At 39.4% G+C, this 20497-nt stretch overlaps 1 long non-coding RNA gene across 2 annotated transcripts, besides 2 other annotated features; it reads right to left on the reverse strand.

The window, feature by feature from the left end:
- Positions 1 to 3800: 3800 nt before the first annotated feature.
- On the reverse strand, positions 3801 to 20213 carry LOC105372530 (uncharacterized). 2 transcript variants are annotated; one of them, XR_937264.2, is made up of 3 exons: positions 20017 to 20204; positions 14994 to 15142; positions 3801 to 4391 (listed from the first exon to the last, which is right to left on the reverse strand). It is a non-coding gene; the product is annotated as an uncharacterized LOC105372530 (long non-coding RNA). The 2 variants fall into 2 exon arrangements; XR_937263.3 differs by lacking the exon at positions 3801 to 4391 and adding an exon at positions 8121 to 8291 and having other exon boundaries at positions 20017 to 20213.
- Positions 7350 to 7851: an enhancer, noted in NCBI's record as "OCT4-NANOG hESC enhancer chr20:11696703-11697204 (GRCh37/hg19 assembly coordinates)". NCBI's record gives its function as "activates a minimal SCP1, AML or CMV promoter by ChIP-STARR-seq in primed H9 embryonic stem cells {active_cell/tissue: H9 hESC(primed)}" and the evidence as "EXISTENCE:reporter gene assay evidence [ECO:0000049][PMID:30033119]".
- Positions 10436 to 10730: a silencer, noted in NCBI's record as "tiled region #1197; HepG2 Repressive non-DNase unmatched - State 22:ReprW". NCBI's record gives its function as "represses a minimal TATA promoter and a strong SV40 promoter by Sharpr-MPRA in HepG2 cells {active_cell/tissue: HepG2}" and the evidence as "EXISTENCE:reporter gene assay evidence [ECO:0000049][PMID:27701403]".
- Positions 20214 to 20497: the final 284 nt, after the last annotated feature.

Raw genomic sequence — 20497 nt, forward strand, 5'->3', positions numbered from 1 at the left:
TACCTTTATACTTCAAGTGACTGGAAACAGAAAAAAAAATAAAACACAAAGTTATTATAAGGAAGAAAATAATAAAGATTAAAGCAGAAACAAATAAAATGGAGAATAAAAAAGCAATAGAAAAAATCAATAAAACTAATAGTTGCTTTTAATTAAAGATCAACAAAATTGACAAATTCTCAGTTAGACTAAGAAAAAAGAGAGAAAGATTAAATAACAAAAATCATAAATAAGAAGAGACATAACTGATGCCACAGAAATAAAAAAGATCATAAGAGACTACTATCAACAATTATATACCAATAAATTGGATGAGCTAGAAGAAATTGATACATGCATAGACATATACAACATACCACAACTAACTCATGATGAATAAAATATCTGAACAGACCTATAGCTTGTAAAGAAATCGAATCACTAACCAAAAATCTCCCAACAAAGAAAGGCCCAGGACCAGATATTTTCACTGGAGAATTCTGTTAAACATTTAAAGAATTAATGTTAATCCTTCTCAAACTCTTCCAAAATGTCAAAGAGAAGGGAACACTTCCAAACTTATAAGAATAGCATAAACTTGGGCTGGGCGCAGTGGCTCATGCCTGTCATCCCAGCACTTTGGGAGGCCGAGGCGGGTGGATCACGAGGTCAGGAGATTGAGACCATCCTGGCTAACACGGTGAAACCCCATCTCTACTAAAAATACAAAAAATTAGCCGGGCTTGGTGGCGGGCACCTGTACTCCCAGCTACTCAGCAGGCTGAGGCAGGAGAATGGCGTGAACCCGGGAGGCGGAGCTTGCAGTGAGCCGAGATGGCGCCACTGCACTCCAGCCTGGGTGACAGAAGGAGACTCCGTCTCAAAAAAAAAAAAAAAAAAAAAAGAATAGCATAACCTTGATACCCAAATGAAAAATGCTGCAAGAAAAGAAAACAACAGACCAATGTTCCTGATGAATATTGATGCAAAAATCTTAAATAAAATACTAGCAAACCAAACTTGATAACACATTAAAAGGACCAACACCATAATTGTATGGAATTTTTTAATTCCTGGAATGCAAGGTTGTTCCAACATGTAAAAATTGATCAATGTAATATACTACATTAACAGAACAAAGGTCAAAACTTATGTAATTATCTCAATTGATACAAAAAAGTATTTGACAAACTTAATGCCCTTTCATGATAAAAACACTCAAAAAATCAGGAGAAGAAAAAAGTTACTTCAATGTAATAAACGCCATATATGAAAATCCCACAGCTAACATTATACTCTATGGTGATAAAGTAAAATGTTTCCCTCTAAGATGAATAAAACAAGGATGCCCACTCTCACAACTTTTATTCAATATAATACTGAAAGTTCTAGACAGAACAACTAGATAAGAAAAAGAAATGGAAGACAACCAAATTGCAAAGGAAGAAGCAAATTTAACTCTGCTCACAGTAGTTAGAAAACTCTAAGGATTATACACACCCACACACAATTAGAACTAACAAATGTAGCAAAATTGCAAGATACAAAGTCAATATACAAAAATAAGTTGCATTTCTATATACCAACAATGAACAATTCAAAAAGGAAATTAAGATAACAATCTCATTAAAAATAGCAGCAAAAGGAATAAAATACTTAGGACCAAAATTAACCAAAAAGGCTAAAGACTTGTACACAGAAAACTACAAAACATTACTAAAAGAAATTAAGGATACAAATAAATGGAAACACATCCCATGTTCATGGAGTAAAAGACTTAATAGAATTAAAATATGCATACCTCCCAAAGCAACTTAATATGATTAAAAGTTTGTATTATCTACAGATTCAATGCAAATCTTATCTAAATCTCCATCAAAATTCCATGATTTTTACAGAAATAGGAAAAAAAAATCATCCTGGAATATATATGGGATCTCAAAACTTGCCTTGCATAGCCAAAGCAATCTGAGAAAGAAAAACGAAGCTGGAGGCCTTACACTTTCTGACTTCAAAATGTATTACAAAGCTACAGTAATCAAAACATTATAGCACTGGTCTAAATACTTAGAGATCAATGAAACAGAATAACAAGCATAGAAATAAACTCTTATGTATATGGTCAAATGAAATTTAAAAAGGGTGCTAAGACTGCATAACAGGGAAATGATAGTTTCTTTCACAAATATGACCAAATTTATTTTCTTTGTGACAACTGTCGCTATGAAACATTATGCTATTTATTTTCTGTTTTACTACCTGTTGACCACCTCTACATACACAACGCAGAATATAAGCTCTGTGAGGAAAGGAAACTCATCACTCTGTAATGTTCCCTGATGTACTCCAGCTTCTAGAACATTGATATTAATTTTTTAAAATGTAGATGAAATAAATGAAAGAGCACACCTTTCATTCTCTCATGCTCACCCTGCTTCAGACTAAAATGGCCCTTCCTATGCCTTTTATCTGGTTAGATCCTTTGGCTCTCAGTAGGGCTCAAGTATTGCTTGCTCTAGGAAGCTTTCTCTAATTTTGTGAAATCTCTCTCTTGAAAACACACATCTCCTTTGTAGCACTTATCACAGTTGCTGTTTTCCTGTTTATGTGATTGCATTTGACTCGTTATCTGTTTCCCCAATGGCAGAGACTTCATTTTGTGTCACATCTTCCACCACCTCAATGTGCACAATAACTTCTCCATAGGGGTTTACCGACAAATCCCTCTAGTGGCTTGCTGTCGCATGCATCTGCATCCTGGTTTTCCCAGGACAGCTCTGGTGAATGACTCTTGCCCTGGCATCACTGTAGATAAAAGCATCGCAGTTTGGATGATCAATTATATGGTCCCTCCAGTTATGCAACACTGGAGGTATTACTGAAAATCCAGCAGGATTAAAAATCTAATTAAATCATTTAAACGTGATTAGCTTTTAAGTAGTATTTACATATAAATCAACATTTTGAAACTGCAGGTCACCACCTAATAGTAGACCATGACTACTGTTTTGTATGTGTGAATCTGGATACACTAGAATAGCATATATAGCAAATCATTTGAATTGAACCACAAGTGGACAAATAAACATTATTTGGGAATACTTTCTTTAAAATGTAGCTATGGATATGTAGGTAATAATGCAAAGTACTTAGCTTTAGGCTGTGGGTTGAAGTGATGCTGAGGGTCCCTCCCAGATTTCACAGATGAGGCTGGTGCAGCCATCTCCCAGTCGCTTTGAGTGTTGGCTACTAACAGTTTGAAAATACCCTCTTCTCAGGAGAATTGTTCTCCAAAGAGCCCCGCCCCTGGAAAAACCTTGAAGTTTTCCTCTCTCCAGGGTCCAGTGATGAAAATAAGGGTAGTAAAGCCCAGGCCCTGACCTCAGGGGGATCAACTATGCAGTACGTTTTATGTTCCAGAACTTTTTAGTGGGATCAGGCTGAAGCCAGATTCCATATGAGCCTATGTCCTTTCCAGGCTTCCTCCCCTGCCCCATCCTGCTTCCTTCACTCCCATACAGGGTCCTCCCGAAAAGCCTCTCTCAGCACATCTCTACAAAAATCCACATTTTGAATTCTAAGAACTTAACCTAAAACAGTTGTCATTTTAAAAATATGAAAAAAGGCTGAGCGCAGTGGCTCATGCCTGTAATCCTAACACTTTGGGAGGCTGAGGTGGGAGGATTGCTTGAACTCGGGAGTTGGAGACCTGCCTCAGCAACGAGAAGCAAAACCCTGTTTCTAAAAAGAAGAAAAAAGAAGTATTAAAGGAAATAACACTCCATAGTCTATATAATTTAATCAATCAATATGAATACATTGTTTTCAAATTATACTAGTTTACATTTACAGTTTTCACTTTCTGCATATTCTCTAGAAAACGTGTAAATTTTTACACAGAAATCTTGAACAAGCAAAATGCTGTATTGTTTTTGGAACCAAGACTCAGGAAGACAGGTGTGCCAGCCATCTGTCAGCATGCTGGGGATGCTCTTCCCCAAAATGTGTCAGTCTGGACATCAGTTCAGATAAGACTCAAAAGCTACAACGCATTGAGGAACATAGGATCAAAGATGAAGCCTTGTTTCTTTCTGTAAACCAAAGCAGGTAAATGGCAAGGCTGCTTTGGAAAATGTGACTTTGGAGTTAGCTGTGCTTTTTCACTGAAGAGTCCTCCCACTTCATCCCCAGACAGGAGACAAACAGGCAGTCAGTGCAGATTCCCCAACTCCCAAAGTCATCAGGGCCACCTGCCAGCCAGCCCATGCAGCATCTACTGGGTCCCTGCTGGGTGCCTGGCTCCATCACCTCACGCTGCTCATCGTTTGACAAATGCCAAGGCTTCTGTGATGATGCCTCTCTCCTGGGGTTCATGGAACAGTGTCCAGACAAGAGAAAATAAACCACAGGCTCTGAACAAGAAGAACAAATGGGAGATTTTTGTACCAGTCAAAAACAGGCTTTGGAAAACATAACCAAGGGGAACAAGCACACCTTAGCCACACCATCATGATATTTCCGTTGGAAACTTATTTATTTATGGAGAACTCACCTTTGAAAGGCATTTCAAACTGTTTTTAGTTTTGGGGGGGGGTTGTGTCTGTGTGTGTGTTTGTTTGTTTGTTTGTTTACCAATATCGCTAGGCAGAAATCACCTGGGTTTGCTGAAGGTTTTGAGAGAAAAGGGAGTGGAAAGAGCAAGGGAAAAGGAAGAGGCTACGGCTGAACCAAGAATAGGATTCTTAGAAACTCACAAAATAGCCACTAAGTAACCAGAGTAATTAGCCCAATATTCTGTACAGAACAAGAGCTCCTCATTCTCTCTCAGTATCCCTTCCTAATTAGAAACCAATTATCAGGATTTGCTAAATAAATTCTCATTCCTCCGAACAACGAAACATGATATTAAAAAAGAGACAGATCTTTATGGTTTGATATGAAATATGCTCCAAGATACAATGTTTAATGAAAAAATAAAATTAAAAAAAAGGAAGGTGCAAAGTAATGTGCAAAACATTTGTGGCATAGCAACAAGAATCACTTTATATATGTGCACATATAAAGTATATGAATAAATATGTGTCACACAATATGTATAATATTCTATATATATATAGACACACACATATACATATACACGTGTATTTTGAGAAATTGGGAAGCAGATGTGGGAGGGATCTCCCTCATCTTGACCTCAGGGAGATCCTTTTCACTGTTTGCTGTTTTCCTGGAATTTGTATTTTCCCATATGCTTCTTTTTTTTTTGGAGACGGAGTCTCGCTCTGTTGCCCAGGCTGGAGTGCAGTGGCGTGATCTTGGCTCACTGCAAGCTCCGCCTCCCGGGTTCACGCCATTCTCCTGCCTCAGCCTCCCGAGTAGCTGGGACTACAGGCACCTGCCACTGCGCCCAGCTAATTTTTTGTATTTTTTTTTTTTTTAGTGGAGATGGGGTTTTACCGTGGTCTCAGTCTCCTGCCCTTGTGATCCGCCTGCCTTGGCCTCTCAAAGTGCTGGGATTACAGGCGTGAGCCACCGTGCCCGGCCTTTTCCCATATACTTCTATAACCTATTCATAAGCATTTAAAAAGACTGCAACCCCAAATCAAAACCACTAATAACATGCTAAACAATATGAGTTTGGCTGTGAAAAATGGATGATTAAATACTGCTGATCATATTTGCGAAGCCAAATTCTTACAATCTATATGTTATTTATTGGAATTCCTATAGGTGCTTTGAAAATATTTTGATGATTTTTCCTTCCCAGGATACCATAATGGGTTCTTAAACTATAACTGCTATGTTTTAGTACAGTGGTCTTAAAGAGACATCTGTATTTCCTGATTCAAAATTGAACCCTTAGGCAAAATGTATGCAGAGGGAGCACCCAGATTTTCCCATCCCCAAAATAATTCCAAGGCTGCCTTGGAGAGAGATTGTCTGGAACAATGGGTCAAAGTCACACTTGATCCTTATGAGGAAAAGACTAAGTAACTTTGAATAAATAAGGTATTTATCTCTTTGTAAGAAAGAGTGATTCTGAGATAGATGAAGACTTTGAAGTTCAGATTGATTATTGATTAATACTGAATTGTATTAAGGAGTGGCATTCTTAATCTTTTCAAAAATATTAGGAATAAGGACTGGAATCTCTAGAATGTTTACTTGAGCACAAAGTGTAGCACAGGCCTAGAAATTCTCAAGGATGTAGCTGCTAAGAGCTAAAAATATCTTCAGGGGAGGCTGTGCAGAGAGAGAGTAGGGGGAGGAGGTGGAGAACCCGGAAGAGCAGCTCTGAGCAGATTTCACACGATTAATAGGGGGTTTGTTGGCTGGTGGACTTTAAAAATAGAACCTAATTTCTGAGGGGTGGGTGCCCTGCTCCAGAGCCCTAAAAGGAGCCTGCTGAGAGGGATGATTAAAATGAAAGATTGTGCAGCTTTAAGGAAATGTTGGCCTAAAGAAATGGCACCAATTACTGATGCTCCAGCCACCTTCTAAAAGGTTTCTGCAAATTGCTTTCCTTGGATGAAATACCAAATATCTGTTCCCAAATGTTATGAAGCAAAATAAATCACATTCCATTGACACATCTAATATGTCGTATTAGAGACCCTGAATCCAAACAAAGCCAAGCTGCTGTTACCACCGAGCTATTACATTTCTTTCTCTTGCTTTTGTATTAAGGCTGCAAGATGAAAACTTGTTCCTTGCAAACAAACAACAATTATCTCTGCCTCCTCCCTGCATTAGAGGAGAAATCAAATCAGCACCTAACAAGATTTTAGAATTCAAAAGTAACTCAGAAATAATTGACTCTAACCCCCAACTCTTGTAAATAAAGATGGTGAATCCCGGAAATCATAAACCACTTATCCAAAGTTGCTTTGCTGAAGAGCAACACAAGCAGAACTAGAATCCAGATCACTCAACTCTCAGCTTATCAATAAATACCCCTTTTGTTAAATAGGCATACACTAAAGCATTCAAGGTAGTATTCCTTTCCAAGACTTTGCATTTTCTCTAAAATAAAAGTTTCAAGAAAAAGATGATTTTCAAGCAGTAGCGAGTGCACAAAAGTGGCATTTTTCTGACATATGCAGGCTGGAGTACAGTAGCGCACTCTCGGCTCACTGCAACCTCCGCCTCCCGGGTTCAAAAGATCCTTGTGTCTCAACCTCCTGAGTAGCTGGGATTACAGGCGCCCGCCACCATGCCTGGCTAATTTTCGTATTTTTAGTAGAGACAGGGTTTCACCATGTTAGGCTGGTCTCAAACTCCTGACCTCAGGTGATCCACCTGTCTCGGCCTCCCAAAGTGCGGGGATTACAGGCGTAAGCCACCACACCCAGCCTTCTGTTGCATTTTATAGATGAAAATACTGAGGAGCAGTGCAATTGACAGTATTTATCCAGGTGTAGAAGTTGCTATTGGATCACCTTCACCAGCACGTATGCCCATCTCTCAACTACTGCAAGTATTGGCTGCTAAGAACTAATGGCTGCCTCCTTCTCCAGTGAATATGCCTGTTCTAGAAATGCCTGAGAGACTGCCAATGAATAATTGATATGGGCTACAAAAGGCCAGCCATCTTGCTTCAACTGTGTGGTTTTAGTCACCCTCCAAAGCTCCCCTTGTGGTCAGACTGAAGCTAGACTCCAGCTGGGACCACTTCCTATTCAACTCCTTCCTCTGCTCTTCTCTGCCCCTGCAGGTTTGTCCTGAGAACTTGCCTTCAATAAATCAAGTGCTTCTAGGAAAGCTGACCAGAAACCTCAAGTGAGTGTGTAGGAGGGATAGTAAATGCCAGATAGCAAGTTGTGATAGTCTACATCTTTTCCATCTCATTTTCACTTTGGTCTCCATGCAAACGTGTAAAGAGACAGGGAGTTCTGCATATTTCTGCTGTGAGCAGATGCTTGTGATCTTCTTTGGTAATATGGAATGTTTTCCAGCTTTTCTGCTTAGTCATATGCATTCTGACTTGTCTATTCAATTTTGCAGCACCCTTTCAGTAATCTTTAAATTTTTCCTAAAAACAAATAAGCAAAAGGAAGATTTTTTTTTTTTTTTGGTATGGTAATGGATAAACAAGCAAAGAAACAGACATGCAGGCACAATGAGAATTCTTAGTCACTGACCTGTAATGGAGCTTGGGTGACTCTCTTGCCCTCTGACTCGAGTTTTCCTATGTGTGGTAAGGAGTTTGATACCGAGGGCTGAGACTGTGATTGATCTAGCAGATCGAGAGCCCTCAACAGATATTTAGAGTGACAAAAAGCTCATCAGTTTGCTCAGTTGAGATTCATTGGCTGTAAGAAACAGAAAATGACTCTTCCCAGCTGATCCCAGTGTGACAGTTAATTTTAGATGTCAGCTTGACTGAATAAGTAATACCTAGAAACCTGTTAAAGAATTATCTTGAGGTGTTTCTGTGAGGGTGTTTCCAGGAGAGATTGGCACATGAGTCTGAGTGGAGTAGGTAGAGAAGAGCCACTCTCAAAGTGGGCAGGTACCCTCCAATCTGATGGAGGCCCCAAGAGAACGAAAACAGAGAAAAGACAAATGTGTCAATCTATCTGCTGGAGCTGGGATACACTCTTCCTCTCCTGTCCTTACACAATTCCAGGCTCCCTTGCCTTTGGACTCCAAGATTTACATCAGTCCCCCAGCAGGTTATCAGGCCTTTGGCCTCAGACTGAGTTATACCATCAGCTTCCCTGGTTCTGAGGCCTTTGGACTTGGACTGAGCCATGCCACTGGCATCCCAGGGTCTCCAACTTGCTGATGGCTTGTTGTGGGACTTCTCAGCCACCCTAATGCCATGAGCCAATTCCCTTAATAAATTCTCTCTCATATGTATATTTCTATATCTACATCAGTATATTCTCTTGTTTCTGTCTGGAGAACCCAGATTAACATACTCAGCAAAAGTGGTATTTATTGATAAGGTACAGGGAAGCTCAGAGGATTGGAACAACAGATATGGAGAGAGTACAGAGCAGACAATGCTGTGCAGCCTTGTTTGAGGGCTGCTACAGAATGCTATTCCATTTGCTCTTCGGATTCAAAGTTCGGGTAGAGAGTCCAGCTAGCCAGGCTGAGGTCACAGCCTCACTGCTCGACTATACTGGATCAATGAGAGTAGAGATCTAGGGAATTGGCTGTCTAACTCCAGCTGCACATTAAAATCACTTGTTAGGGGCTCTAAAACCCTGATACTTAGGCCACACAACAGGTTAATCAAATCAGACTACCTGGAGGTAGAACCAAAGCATTTGATATTTTTAAAACCCCCAAAGTGATTTAATAATTAGCCAAATTTCTAAAATACTGATGTAGAGGAAAAGCCTTCAGAGAGTACTTCAAGGTTTTTGTAGGAGGACAGGATGCAATGCTTAACATCATGGCATGACTATACCAAATTGGAAAAAAAGATAATTTTCCAAAAGAAAATTGGGTTACATTTAAGAAGCAGGGAGGATGAATACTAAATCGCAAATCAATGAATCCGTTAAAAACAGACAAAGATCCATTGCACAGGCAATCTAGTCAAACATCGTTCTAACACTTAGAGTAAGGTCTGGCACATAAGAGATGCTCAATAAATATTTACTGAATAAATAAGTAAATAAATAACCAGAGAGTCTTGAAATTTCATGTACCATGTAACTCCACCAAGAGAATTACCTGTTTTTCTTGTTTAATCCAAGAAACCCTCTATAATAGATTAAAAGGAGCAAACTTTGTTCAAAAAGAGGATAAAACAAAGAGATTGGGGAAATAAGGAATACATTTATGAAAAATTATTATAAAATTTCTGTAGGCTTATTAAGCTTTGCACTGCTCTACTAGACCCTAATGTTTTGCCTAACGTTACTGTTGATGATCAGATTCTGCTGATCTCAATTTGCTATACTATACTCTTTTTTGTTTACATTTCTAATACTATCATCTGCCTTGACTGGTCAAATAAAGGCCATCTGTTTCATGGTTCTAACACCTTGTTACTTTCAGTATCAAGTTGGTGGGCCCATAGTGCCTCCCTGAAAGTGCTAGAAATGCAGAATTTGGGGCCCTACCTTAGACCTACTGAAGGAGCATTTGTATTTTAATAAGATCCACAGGGGAGCCATATGCACATTGAAATTTGAAAAGAACTGGCTAGCACAAATGGCTCATATGCCTAAAATGGCTGATTGTACCTGTCATTCAAACCCACTGGGAGGAAGTGTGGGAACATGGCATTCTGAGCATGGTGCCTTGATTGCTGCTACCAACTCTAATCAGTCTGCCTCTCCTAAGACAAATAGCAAATGAATGTAGTGAAGCTCTGGCTTCTGCTGGGATCCTGGGCATAGAGAATGGTGTAGGTCTTTTGACCTCATAATTTGAACAAGTAAAATGATAAACAGCATCATAACCTACTTAAGAACCCAAAAACAGAAAATTCTGGGGGAAGATGGAGCATACAAAGATCTGTGGTCCCTTAAGGGAGTACTGATGTCAATTCAGTATGAACGTGCCAAATTCCCAAAACACTAAATGAGAGATGAACAAGTAAGCTGAGTATTTCCTTCCTTACGGGAGAGAGACTACAGGGAGATAAGAGAGGCAGCAGGTGCCAGCCTGCCTGATTCTACACTGCAGCTCAGGGGGATAGAGGTGCCTGTGCTTTCCATGACTGTAGGATCCCTGCTAGGATACTCTCGCCACCACACTAGAATTCCAATGGGCCAGCAAAGGAAAATAACAAGCGAACTATGGGAAACCATTAGCCAGAGAGAAGATCAAGTGGAACTGTTAGGACTTACACTCAGCAAAATGGAATTATTAGAGCAGAAAAAAAAACCCTGAATTAGAAAATAAATTAAAGGTATTTTAAAGGAGATTTGAGTATATCTTATTCAGCAGATTCATTCAAAGAGAAAATGGGGCTGCTGAGATTCACATCAGCAGGCTTGGAAGGTCAAGTATAAGAACTTCTCAAGCAGACAGCATATACCATGAGACAGATGTCATGAGAGATCCACAGAATGGAATCAGAGGCCTAAAATGTGAGTAATAGTAGTTGCAGAAGAACAAAAAGGAATGCATAGAGAAAAACCGACAATAAATACTAGAAGAATAATTCCAAGAGATAATGAAAACCTGAAGTAGCAAATTTAAAATATTCACTAAGATTCAAGCTGGATTTCAAAAAAAGACACATCAATATGTACATCATGAAAAAATTCCTGATCTCTAAAGAAAAAGAACATCTAAAGTCAGAAAGAAGGAATTCACTATAAAATAATACCACCAACAGTGGAAGAAAATGGACAATGGAACAGAATCAACTTATATCCAGCCAACATATCATTACTCTGTCAGGGTAAACAAAAACTACTTGAGGAGAGAAAATAATTTGGAAAGAATAACACTTCAATACGACAACCGAGAAAAGTACTACAAAGACTCTATCCCAATGACAAATGAAAAAATTCAGAAACCTGAAAAGATGAGTGAGCAATGATTATGTATACACAGGTTGCACATACATATATGTGTATATATTTGTATGAAATATTTATACAAGCTCATATATAGTTATTCAGCCATATAGGTAAACATGAACAATGTTCATAATTGAATAAGAATAGGTTATATTGCAAAGTATAATATTAAAAATTAATGACAATAATTAAGAAAATAAAGAAATAAAATTAAGAAAACATTAATTTTTTTAGGAAGTTAATAAACACTAGATCTCATCTGTCAAGCCTAGGAGAAATGGTTACCAGGGAAATAGCAAAAACATTTCAGCATCTCTTTAGAGGAATTACAAAAGGAAGGAAGAAGAGTGGAAGTATCTTTTTAAAATTTCATTTTATTGGAATGAAGCAAAGTAGAAAGAAAACTGCTGGTTTTTTTTTTTTTTTTTTTCTGAGGAGGAGGGAGAAGTCTCCTTTTTAAAGGATAGTAGATACTGATATCTGATCATTTAGATCAAGATAATAAAAATTAACCATCAATAACAAGGGAGAAAAAAGTAGGCTTTCCCAAGCTAGCAAAGAGAGAAAAAGAATAAACTGCACAAGTAAAACACAGAAAAAGAAGAAACAGCTATATGTCCAAAAGTAAATCTAAAATCAGATAACAGTCATATAGCAAGTATATCAGTCACCATATAAAATGTAAAAGAATAAGATTTCATCATGAAAAGGCAAAGGCAACCCATTTCTTTGACAAACAAAACACAGCTAGATGTTATATATAAGAAATACTTAAATTAAATTTAAAATAACATAAATATAAATGAAGTGAGCAAAAAGATATTGGAAAAATGGAAACAAAAGGGAACCAAAAGTGACAATATCAACAAAGTAGAATTTAAGGGTGGAAGAACCAGGCAGGCACCAAAGGGACATGATATAGTGAAAAATGGCACAATTAGAGATATACAGCAGTCATAACTGATGTGAGGCGATCACCATAGGACCTCAAAGCTTAAAGCAATTTTATTTGAAATGCAAGGAGAACTTGCTAAAAATATAATTATGATGAAAACATCAATATCCTTCTCTCAGAACTGAAAGATCTAGTTAAAAAATAGAAAACAGAGAAAATAAAAAATACAATTAATAAACAACTTGATATGAATTATACCTTATCCCTTGAAAGTACTTTTAAAAATACTCCTAGAATATTTATAAAAGTTGGTCATATATGTCGCCACTGGGGAAAAAGTAAAACAGGAAAGTGTGTAAGTGAATAGCTTTTATAGACTACGTTCTCTGATAATAAGCTAATAAAACTAGAAATAAATGATAACAAAAAATCTTAATGTCTTGACACAATGAAGGAGCATGCTTCTAGATATTCTTTGATCAAAAAGGAAATTAAAAGGGAAATTAGAACCTGTCCAAAGGTCAATGAAAAGGAATACGTCATCCATAATAAAACCTACAAAACAAATCAAAAGCTATCATTAGAGGAAAATTTATAGCCTTAATTGTCTTCATTATTAAAAGAGATAACTGGTTTAAAAAGTAATTTTTCATCTCCAAACTGAAAGATGAACAGCAAAATTAAATAACAGTTAAGGACATTTTAAAATATTTTAAAATGGGGAAAAAAGAAGAGACAAATGATTTCAAAAGCTTGTCCTTTGAAACATTAATAAAATAGGTGAAGTATCTCATGATTCTGACAAAGAAAATTTCGAACAAAAGCAAAAGCAGATGGAACAAGGAATGAGAAAGACATAGCCACAAACACAAGAGATTAAAATTGTGGTGAGAAAATACTATGTCTAACTCTATGGCAACAGATAAAAATGAATCTTTTTTTAGCAAAATATCTCTAGCTCACCGACTTTCACAATTCCTACCCTTATTTCACCATATTACTCTCCTTTTTATATATCTCGTTTTAACCAAGCACCGTCTCTTCTATGCCCAGCTCCCCTACCTTGAATTGGCACATTTTTCTGCAATCGAGAGTCATTTAGTTTGACTGGCCTACTGTGTGCCTGAGAGGAGAGCTCAGTATGCGCTGATTCTCTACTCTTATTTTCATACTTTTCTTCCAAGTTCCTGGAGCATCTCTTGCATGCACCCCATTGAGGCCATGCGTCGCAGCTCTCGTCTCCTTAAATATTTCAGAGCACTTTCACATTCATTGTAGTGTAATCTCACAGGGTTCTTTTTTCTGTTTTTTAAGTAGCAATTTTCAAGATTTTAGACTGAAAAGTAAATGTTATACTCCAGGTGATAGTTTTATATGAAAAGTAAAATGAATTATTTTGACAAGCTAAGTGACAGGAAGTTTTTCACTACTTTTTAATTATCAAAGACATTCACACACACACACACACACAGGCGCAGAGAAAGAGAGAGACATTCAGAATAGAGCTAATTATATTATCTCACCAGGAAGAAAAGTCAGCCATGATTTTCAGCCTCAAGAGATTTAGGATCTAGTAAAAGTGCTTAGAACTTAGTGAGATTTTAGAAGTTGCCTAACAGTTTATATAACTGGTAGGGACCTAACTGATAGGAGTGGGAATCTACTTCTGAGATTCCTATTTTCCTCAAACCTAGACAGTCTCTTACGTGGATCACGTGCTTTTCAGATCACTGTAAAAATAGTCTTAATTTCCAGAGAGAAAAAATATGTAACATAATCAATAACAAATGTTCACTCTATTAGCAAGTGTTTGCTGTGTAACAAACCACTCTCAAATTAGTAGTTTATAATAATGACAAATTATTCAGCTCACAAGCTGTGGATCAGCAATTTAGGCTGGGTTTGGCTGGGTTGGGAGTTCTATGGCTCTCATTGGGCATTTGCATGTCAGCTCTTGCTTGTCCAGGAGTTTGGCTGGGGCAACTGGGTTGATCAAGATAATAAAAATTAACCATCAATGACAAGGGAGAATAAAGTAGGCTTTCCTAAGCTAGCAAAGAGAGAAAAAGAATAAACAGCAAAAGTAAAGAAAAAGAAGAAACAACTATATATCCAATAGTAAATCTGGTTTATGTGATCTCAAATCATGCAGCAGACTTGCTCATTCTTTTTAATGTGGCAACGGGCAGGCTTTGTGAAAGAATCAGTGTGTGAAGCATCTTAAGGCACAGACTTGAAACTGGTGCAATGCGGTTACTGCCAAATTCTATTGGCTAAAGGAGGTCTCAAGGCCTTTCCAAGGGGTGAGGAAAGAGACTGTATCTCTTAACAGGAGAAGCTGCAGAGAGACATTGCAAGGGTGTAGATACAGAGCGGAGAAGGATCACAATCTTTTTGCAACTCCAATAACCTACATATCATTTCCGTCCTGTGGATGCATGCTTGGCCCACAGGAAACGTCCTCTGCACCTATTGTCAATTCCATTCAATCTCTCACCCTCTTGCTTCTCCAGTTAGGTGTCAGGCATCAGTCCCTGTGCCTCCCGCCTTTAAACTCCATAGGCACATGTCAGGTTTTCCAAGTGGAGCTCCATAACCAACCCCTCCTTTAACTTCCCCCCTACCTTTCTTCTGTGGTTGGGGAAATTCATGCTTTCCAACAATTCTCTCCACTATCAGCCCTCCTCAGCATCTCTTGATCACCTTGTCTCCATTTATGGGTGATGTGCTAAGGGCTGAAAAACTAGTTTCATCGGCTTCTTAGTTTGGGTACCTGTAGAAGCAAGAGGGGATGTGAATGCAAGATTAGTTAGCGAGGTTATCTCAAGAAACACAGATTGGAGAGAGGAAAAAAGAGATACAGGGAAAATAAGAAAGCCAGTGCAAGGTGTGTTTTTCAATACAGTTATCACTGTGGGCAAAAACTCTGGGAGTCAGTGTACAGCACAGGTCTTAGAGTTGTCCCACCTGGGAGTGAGAGGGCTGGATCACTTATACACCCATCTATGTATAAATACACCATTTTCTACACTCTATCTAGCATAAACTGAGCGCAGCTTTGGGTGAGAGTTGGTTAATTCCCTGGCACTTCCAGCCTGCTGTGAAGATGTGTAGGCAGAGAAGGCATCAACAGCCAGAAAAAAAAAGCATCCAGCAAGAAAGAGAGGTTCTGGCAGTTGAGAAGTCAGGCCCGTTTACACTGAAGTGATAAGAGTGAGATGTGGTGATAGCTCCCTGGCTGTCATCCTTGTCCTCTGTCAATGTGTAGCAACACCGTCTAACTCCAAGGCAACAGGACACATTGAATTTAGCATTCTAAAATAAATGCAATACTCTCAAAATGTCATTCTCTTAGTCTCATCCTCTCTCAAAAGCATCCTGTATCCTTCTAGCTGGTCCCTAATTTTACCATTATCCATATTTGCATTCCTGTTGTTCAGATAGCCTTTATTCCTGGTACTGAGATTTGTTGCTCTCCTTTTTTCTTTACCTGTATTCTCTATTACCATAAATTATCCTTGGAAATATCTTCTCTGATATATATCTTTGCATCTACTACATGGTCTGGCCCACAGTAGAGGCTCAACAAGTATTTCTGGAATAAATGAATTAATAAGTGAGATTCATTATTCTTTGCAATCAGGCATCTAGGGTATTTTCCATGACAATACCAAACACAAAATATAGTTGTGTATTATCTCTTCTAGGTTACCTTGAGAGGTGCAGGTTCTCATTACCTGAAAGTGTGGATTAGTTTGAACCAGTGGTTTATCATGGAAGAAATTCAACCTGACAACTCCCATTTGTCATAGTCATTGTATTTCATGCAACTTTTAAAACTTGTGAAGTGAAGGTCTATGCCTATCACTTTCTATTTGGTAAGCATAGGTTTCCATGAGTTTTATGCATTATCTAAGACTAAGAAACTGCATTTCTGTCTCCTGCCACCTTCGTCCCCTCTTTCTCTCTGCGTCTCTCCCTTCTGTCTCTCAGCACACATACAAACGTAGCAATTGAATTATGCTTTTTCATGTTGTTCTCTCTGCCAAGAATTTTATTTTACTCTCATCATTGTCTATACACCTCAATTGTTTTTAGTAAACTTTCTATTGATGTAAAACACACAAATAGAAAAGTACGTAAATCATGAAAACACAGCTCGGCGAATTTTCACAAGTGAACACGCCTGCTCAATCAGTGCTTCTTCCCCAGTCTTGGGGAATCCAGCAGTGCACTCCAGGGCTCTTTCTGTTGAGGGCTCCTCACTCTTCTGGGAAGATCTGTGACAACCCCACTAAGGCTCTCTCTCCCATATAGTTTATGTCCAGGATGTGGAAATCCCCAGGGGACCCCCTTCCCCAGGGAAGGCCAATCTCTGGCCTCTACTCTGCTACATCTTCCTATCATGGCGTTTGTTTTGTTTTCCCATGTTGAGTGCTATTAGCTGACCTTCTAGCTATTATCTAATGTTAGATCTCATCTATAAATGTATGTTACTTCCCTTGCTCTCTGTAATTTCTTTAAGTTTGTAGACGGAATTTGCTTGAAGGGATTCTGTTACATGAAGTAACTTACCCATCAGCAGCCCTCGCCTGTTCTTTGTATAGAACACTCTTACCTTTTTGGAAGGAAGTGCCACGATTTCTCAGTCTAATTCATGGTGTATTCCCTGTGCCTCAGACAGTGCTTGGTTCAGTGCCTATGCACAAATATTTGCTTAATTAACATGGGATGAATATTTGCCTGGTTTGAATGTTAGAGATTTTTTGGTTTCTTCCTAATCTTTGAATGAGGGCAACTCTCTTACACCATTCAATTTATTGAAAAACATCCAGACAGGTTTATGAGGTGGAGAATGTGCAGTGGCTTATTAGGTGAATACATAGCAAATTGGGCCAGCCAGTAGTATGAAAATGATGGTGTTGTTTTGTAATACTTTTCTGCTAATTTTCTACAGTCTAGCCCAAAGAATCACCTATCAGCTTTAAATGTCTCCCCGCAATGCATACATGCATAGCTCCCCACAAACATCCAGTGAGTATCATTCTGTTCAGTGGACCCTGATGAACAGCTGCCAAGCTGGGGGCCACTTCCTCTTGTGAATCCATACTGCCTGGGCTCCAAGCCAGTTCTCTAGAGCAGGGATGCAGGCCGTGAAAAGGAACAACCATAAAGATCAAGTCTTCAAACTATCTTTAGCCCTCTGCCCCACGGCTATGCTAAGCCAAGTAGCATATTTCAGGGATCTGTTCTCCTTTTCTGACTACCACCACATTCCATTTCTCTATTATTTCAAGAGGAACCTCTACTATGTTTTCAGAGAACACTACATCCTGCTGAAAATTTGAATGTTTCTGTAATTATTTTTGGCATCTTTCTCTGAATTAGTCCAAATTTATTTATCTTTAGCTAATATTCTCTATTGTCTTTAGTCACAGTCTTCAGCAGTGTATCTAGTTGCAGGTCTCTTAATTTATACTCTATTCTCACATCCTAAGCAGATATCAGAGAGAAATGTCAGTAGATTTCAGGAGACAAAATGGAAAGGAGCCATTGCTCCACCACCTTTTCCTGGAAGTCTTACTCTATATTTTAAAACACCTTTTTTAATTACTAAGATGCTCTGACGCAAATGTTCACACATTGCAACTAAATGCTACTGCCTTTGAAGTAGAAAGAAATAAAATAGGAAGAATAAATCACTAAATAAATAAATTTCTTAAGCTGACCATTCTCAAAGGAGACTGTGGGGGGTGACATTCTGTTATCCTCAGTCAAGCCAGTGGGACAACACCTAAATCAGTGCCTCAGAAGTGGTTGAGCAGTGAGCTTGTGAGCTTTGAAACTCTTTTAGGTAACGTCTTGGCTTTGATTGCTACTCTGTCCATATTTATATCTTCTTGGGTTATGATTCTTTGTTCACTAACAGCAAATCAGAGATTGGAGAAAGAAGAAACTCCGTCAGTAACTAATCACACATCCATTCTAAAGTCTAGAAAAGCTGCCAGAAAACCATTCTGCTGGACTTTGGAAGTGTTGCTTCTCATGTGCCCTCCTGAGCCAACTTGTCATAGATGTTCCTGTGGCTCCTATGAAAAAGTACTTGTCTGATGAGGGCCACATGTATAAACAGGCCCAATATGGTATGCACGTATACCAACCCCCAACCATAGGATTGGTGAATGGCCATGGCACCATGTGGGCACATTCCCTCTGTTTTCCCTCTGCCTCCACTCCCACATTATAGCCAGATGCTCACTACTGCCCCCTGTGCACTAGGATCTTTTTAACCAAACATTTCAAGTATATGGGCTATTTCTCAAACTGGTTCCACAGGGCTCTGAGGTCCCATGAGGTGTCTGATGGGAAGTGAGGGTCGTTCAAGGGGAAATCTGAGCATGTGAGTCTCCAGATGCTTCATCATCAGTTCAGACAGAATTCTGTTTACCTGTCTTACTTGTGAGATTCCTTACAAAATTCTGATGCAAAAAAAGTTCTCCTGCTAAGTCTAAAAACTTCTGCTACCCATAGAATGATGACCCATCAGTCTTCTGCACTCCAAAACTGTCCATATTTTTATCAAGTACTCTGTAATTAATAATGCATCAGATATTTAAATTGTGTAACTTCACTTCATTTTCCTTCTTCCTCTTCTGTCAATGTCCTAGTAAAATCAATGGTCTCTCCTCCTCCTCCCAGAATTTTGGTGGCACCCTGGCAGGTCCTAAGCCTTTTCTTTCAGGCATATAACTGGATGAAAGGGGACTGGGAATGGGTGGGTATGTTGGCCAGCCATAATCATGAGGCCTGGGTGGGACTCCCACTCACTGAGCACACTGGCAGCAGCTGGCCAGAGTCATAATTAAAACCAGCTTTGCTCCAGCTTTAGCATAAGGCTCAAAAGTGACAGTCCATAGTCCATGGGTCTGAGAATATTCAGGCTAATGGGAAAGACATCTTAGACCCGAGTCTCTCAAAACCTATCACAGAGACAACAATCTAAACATCTCAATGTCCAACCTCCTACTCTCCTGCTTTAATTTACTCTGCAGAATATGTGGCATGCAAGAAGTATTGCTCAGTGGGCCCCACTCCCACTAGCTAAGACCCACTGGCTTGGAAACCCCACCAGTCAGTGGCAGCAGGCTGGAGACTGCCTAAGATGACTGAGTTCCCCTGGGGGAGTGGCAGCCACCATCACTGCAGCCCCAGTCAATCATTTTCTCCTGCCGGTGCCAGGGGACTGGGTGGTTCGGATCAGGAGGAATTCCCCACAGTGCAGCACAGTGGCTGTGGCAGATCATGGCCAGACTGCTTCTTTAAGTGGGACTCAAATCTACCCCTCATCACTGGGCAAGACTGCCCTGCAGAAATTCCGGCAACTCCAGCCAGGGGTATACAGACAGAACTCTTATCTCCCTGGGATGGAGCCCCTGTGGGAAGAGGCAGCTGTGGTCTCCACGGTTCAGCCAACTTAGTCTCTCCTGCCTGCTGGCTCGGGAGAGTCCGAACAGTCTGGATGAGGGGGGTTCCTCCCAATGCAGTGCACCCACTCTGCCAAGGGGTAGCCCAGACTGCTTCCTTAAGTGGGTCCTTGATCCTATTCCTCCTGATGGGTGAGACCTTCCAACAGGGGTTGCCACTTACCTCATACAGGGGTGTTCTGGCTGGCAATAGGTCAGTGTGCCTCTGGGACAGAGCTCCCAGAAGAAGAAGAAGGCTGCCATCTTTGCTGTTCTCTAGCCTCCACTGGTGATACCTCCATGTTAAGAAGGGACTCAGGCAAATAAGGTCTGGAGTTGACTCCCAGCAAACTTCAGCGGTGCTACAGAAGAGAGGCCTGACTGCTAAAAGAAAAACAAAGAAATAGAAAGCAACAACAACAACATCAATAAAATGACCCACAAAAAAAAACCATCCAAAGGTAAGCAGCCTCAAAGTTTGAAGGTATATAAACCCACAAAGATAAGAAAGAATCAATGCAAAAATGCTGAGAACTCAAAAAGCCATAGTTCCTCTTCTCCTCCAAAATATTGCAACACCCCTCCAGCAAGGGCACAGAACTGGGCTGAGGCTGAGGTGGATGATTTGACATAAGTAGGCTTCAGAAGATGGGTAATAATGAACT

Source organism: Homo sapiens, chromosome 20 (assembly GCF_000001405.40).
Source record: "Homo sapiens chromosome 20, GRCh38.p14 Primary Assembly".
NCBI lineage: Eukaryota > Metazoa > Chordata > Mammalia > Primates > Hominidae > Homo > Homo sapiens.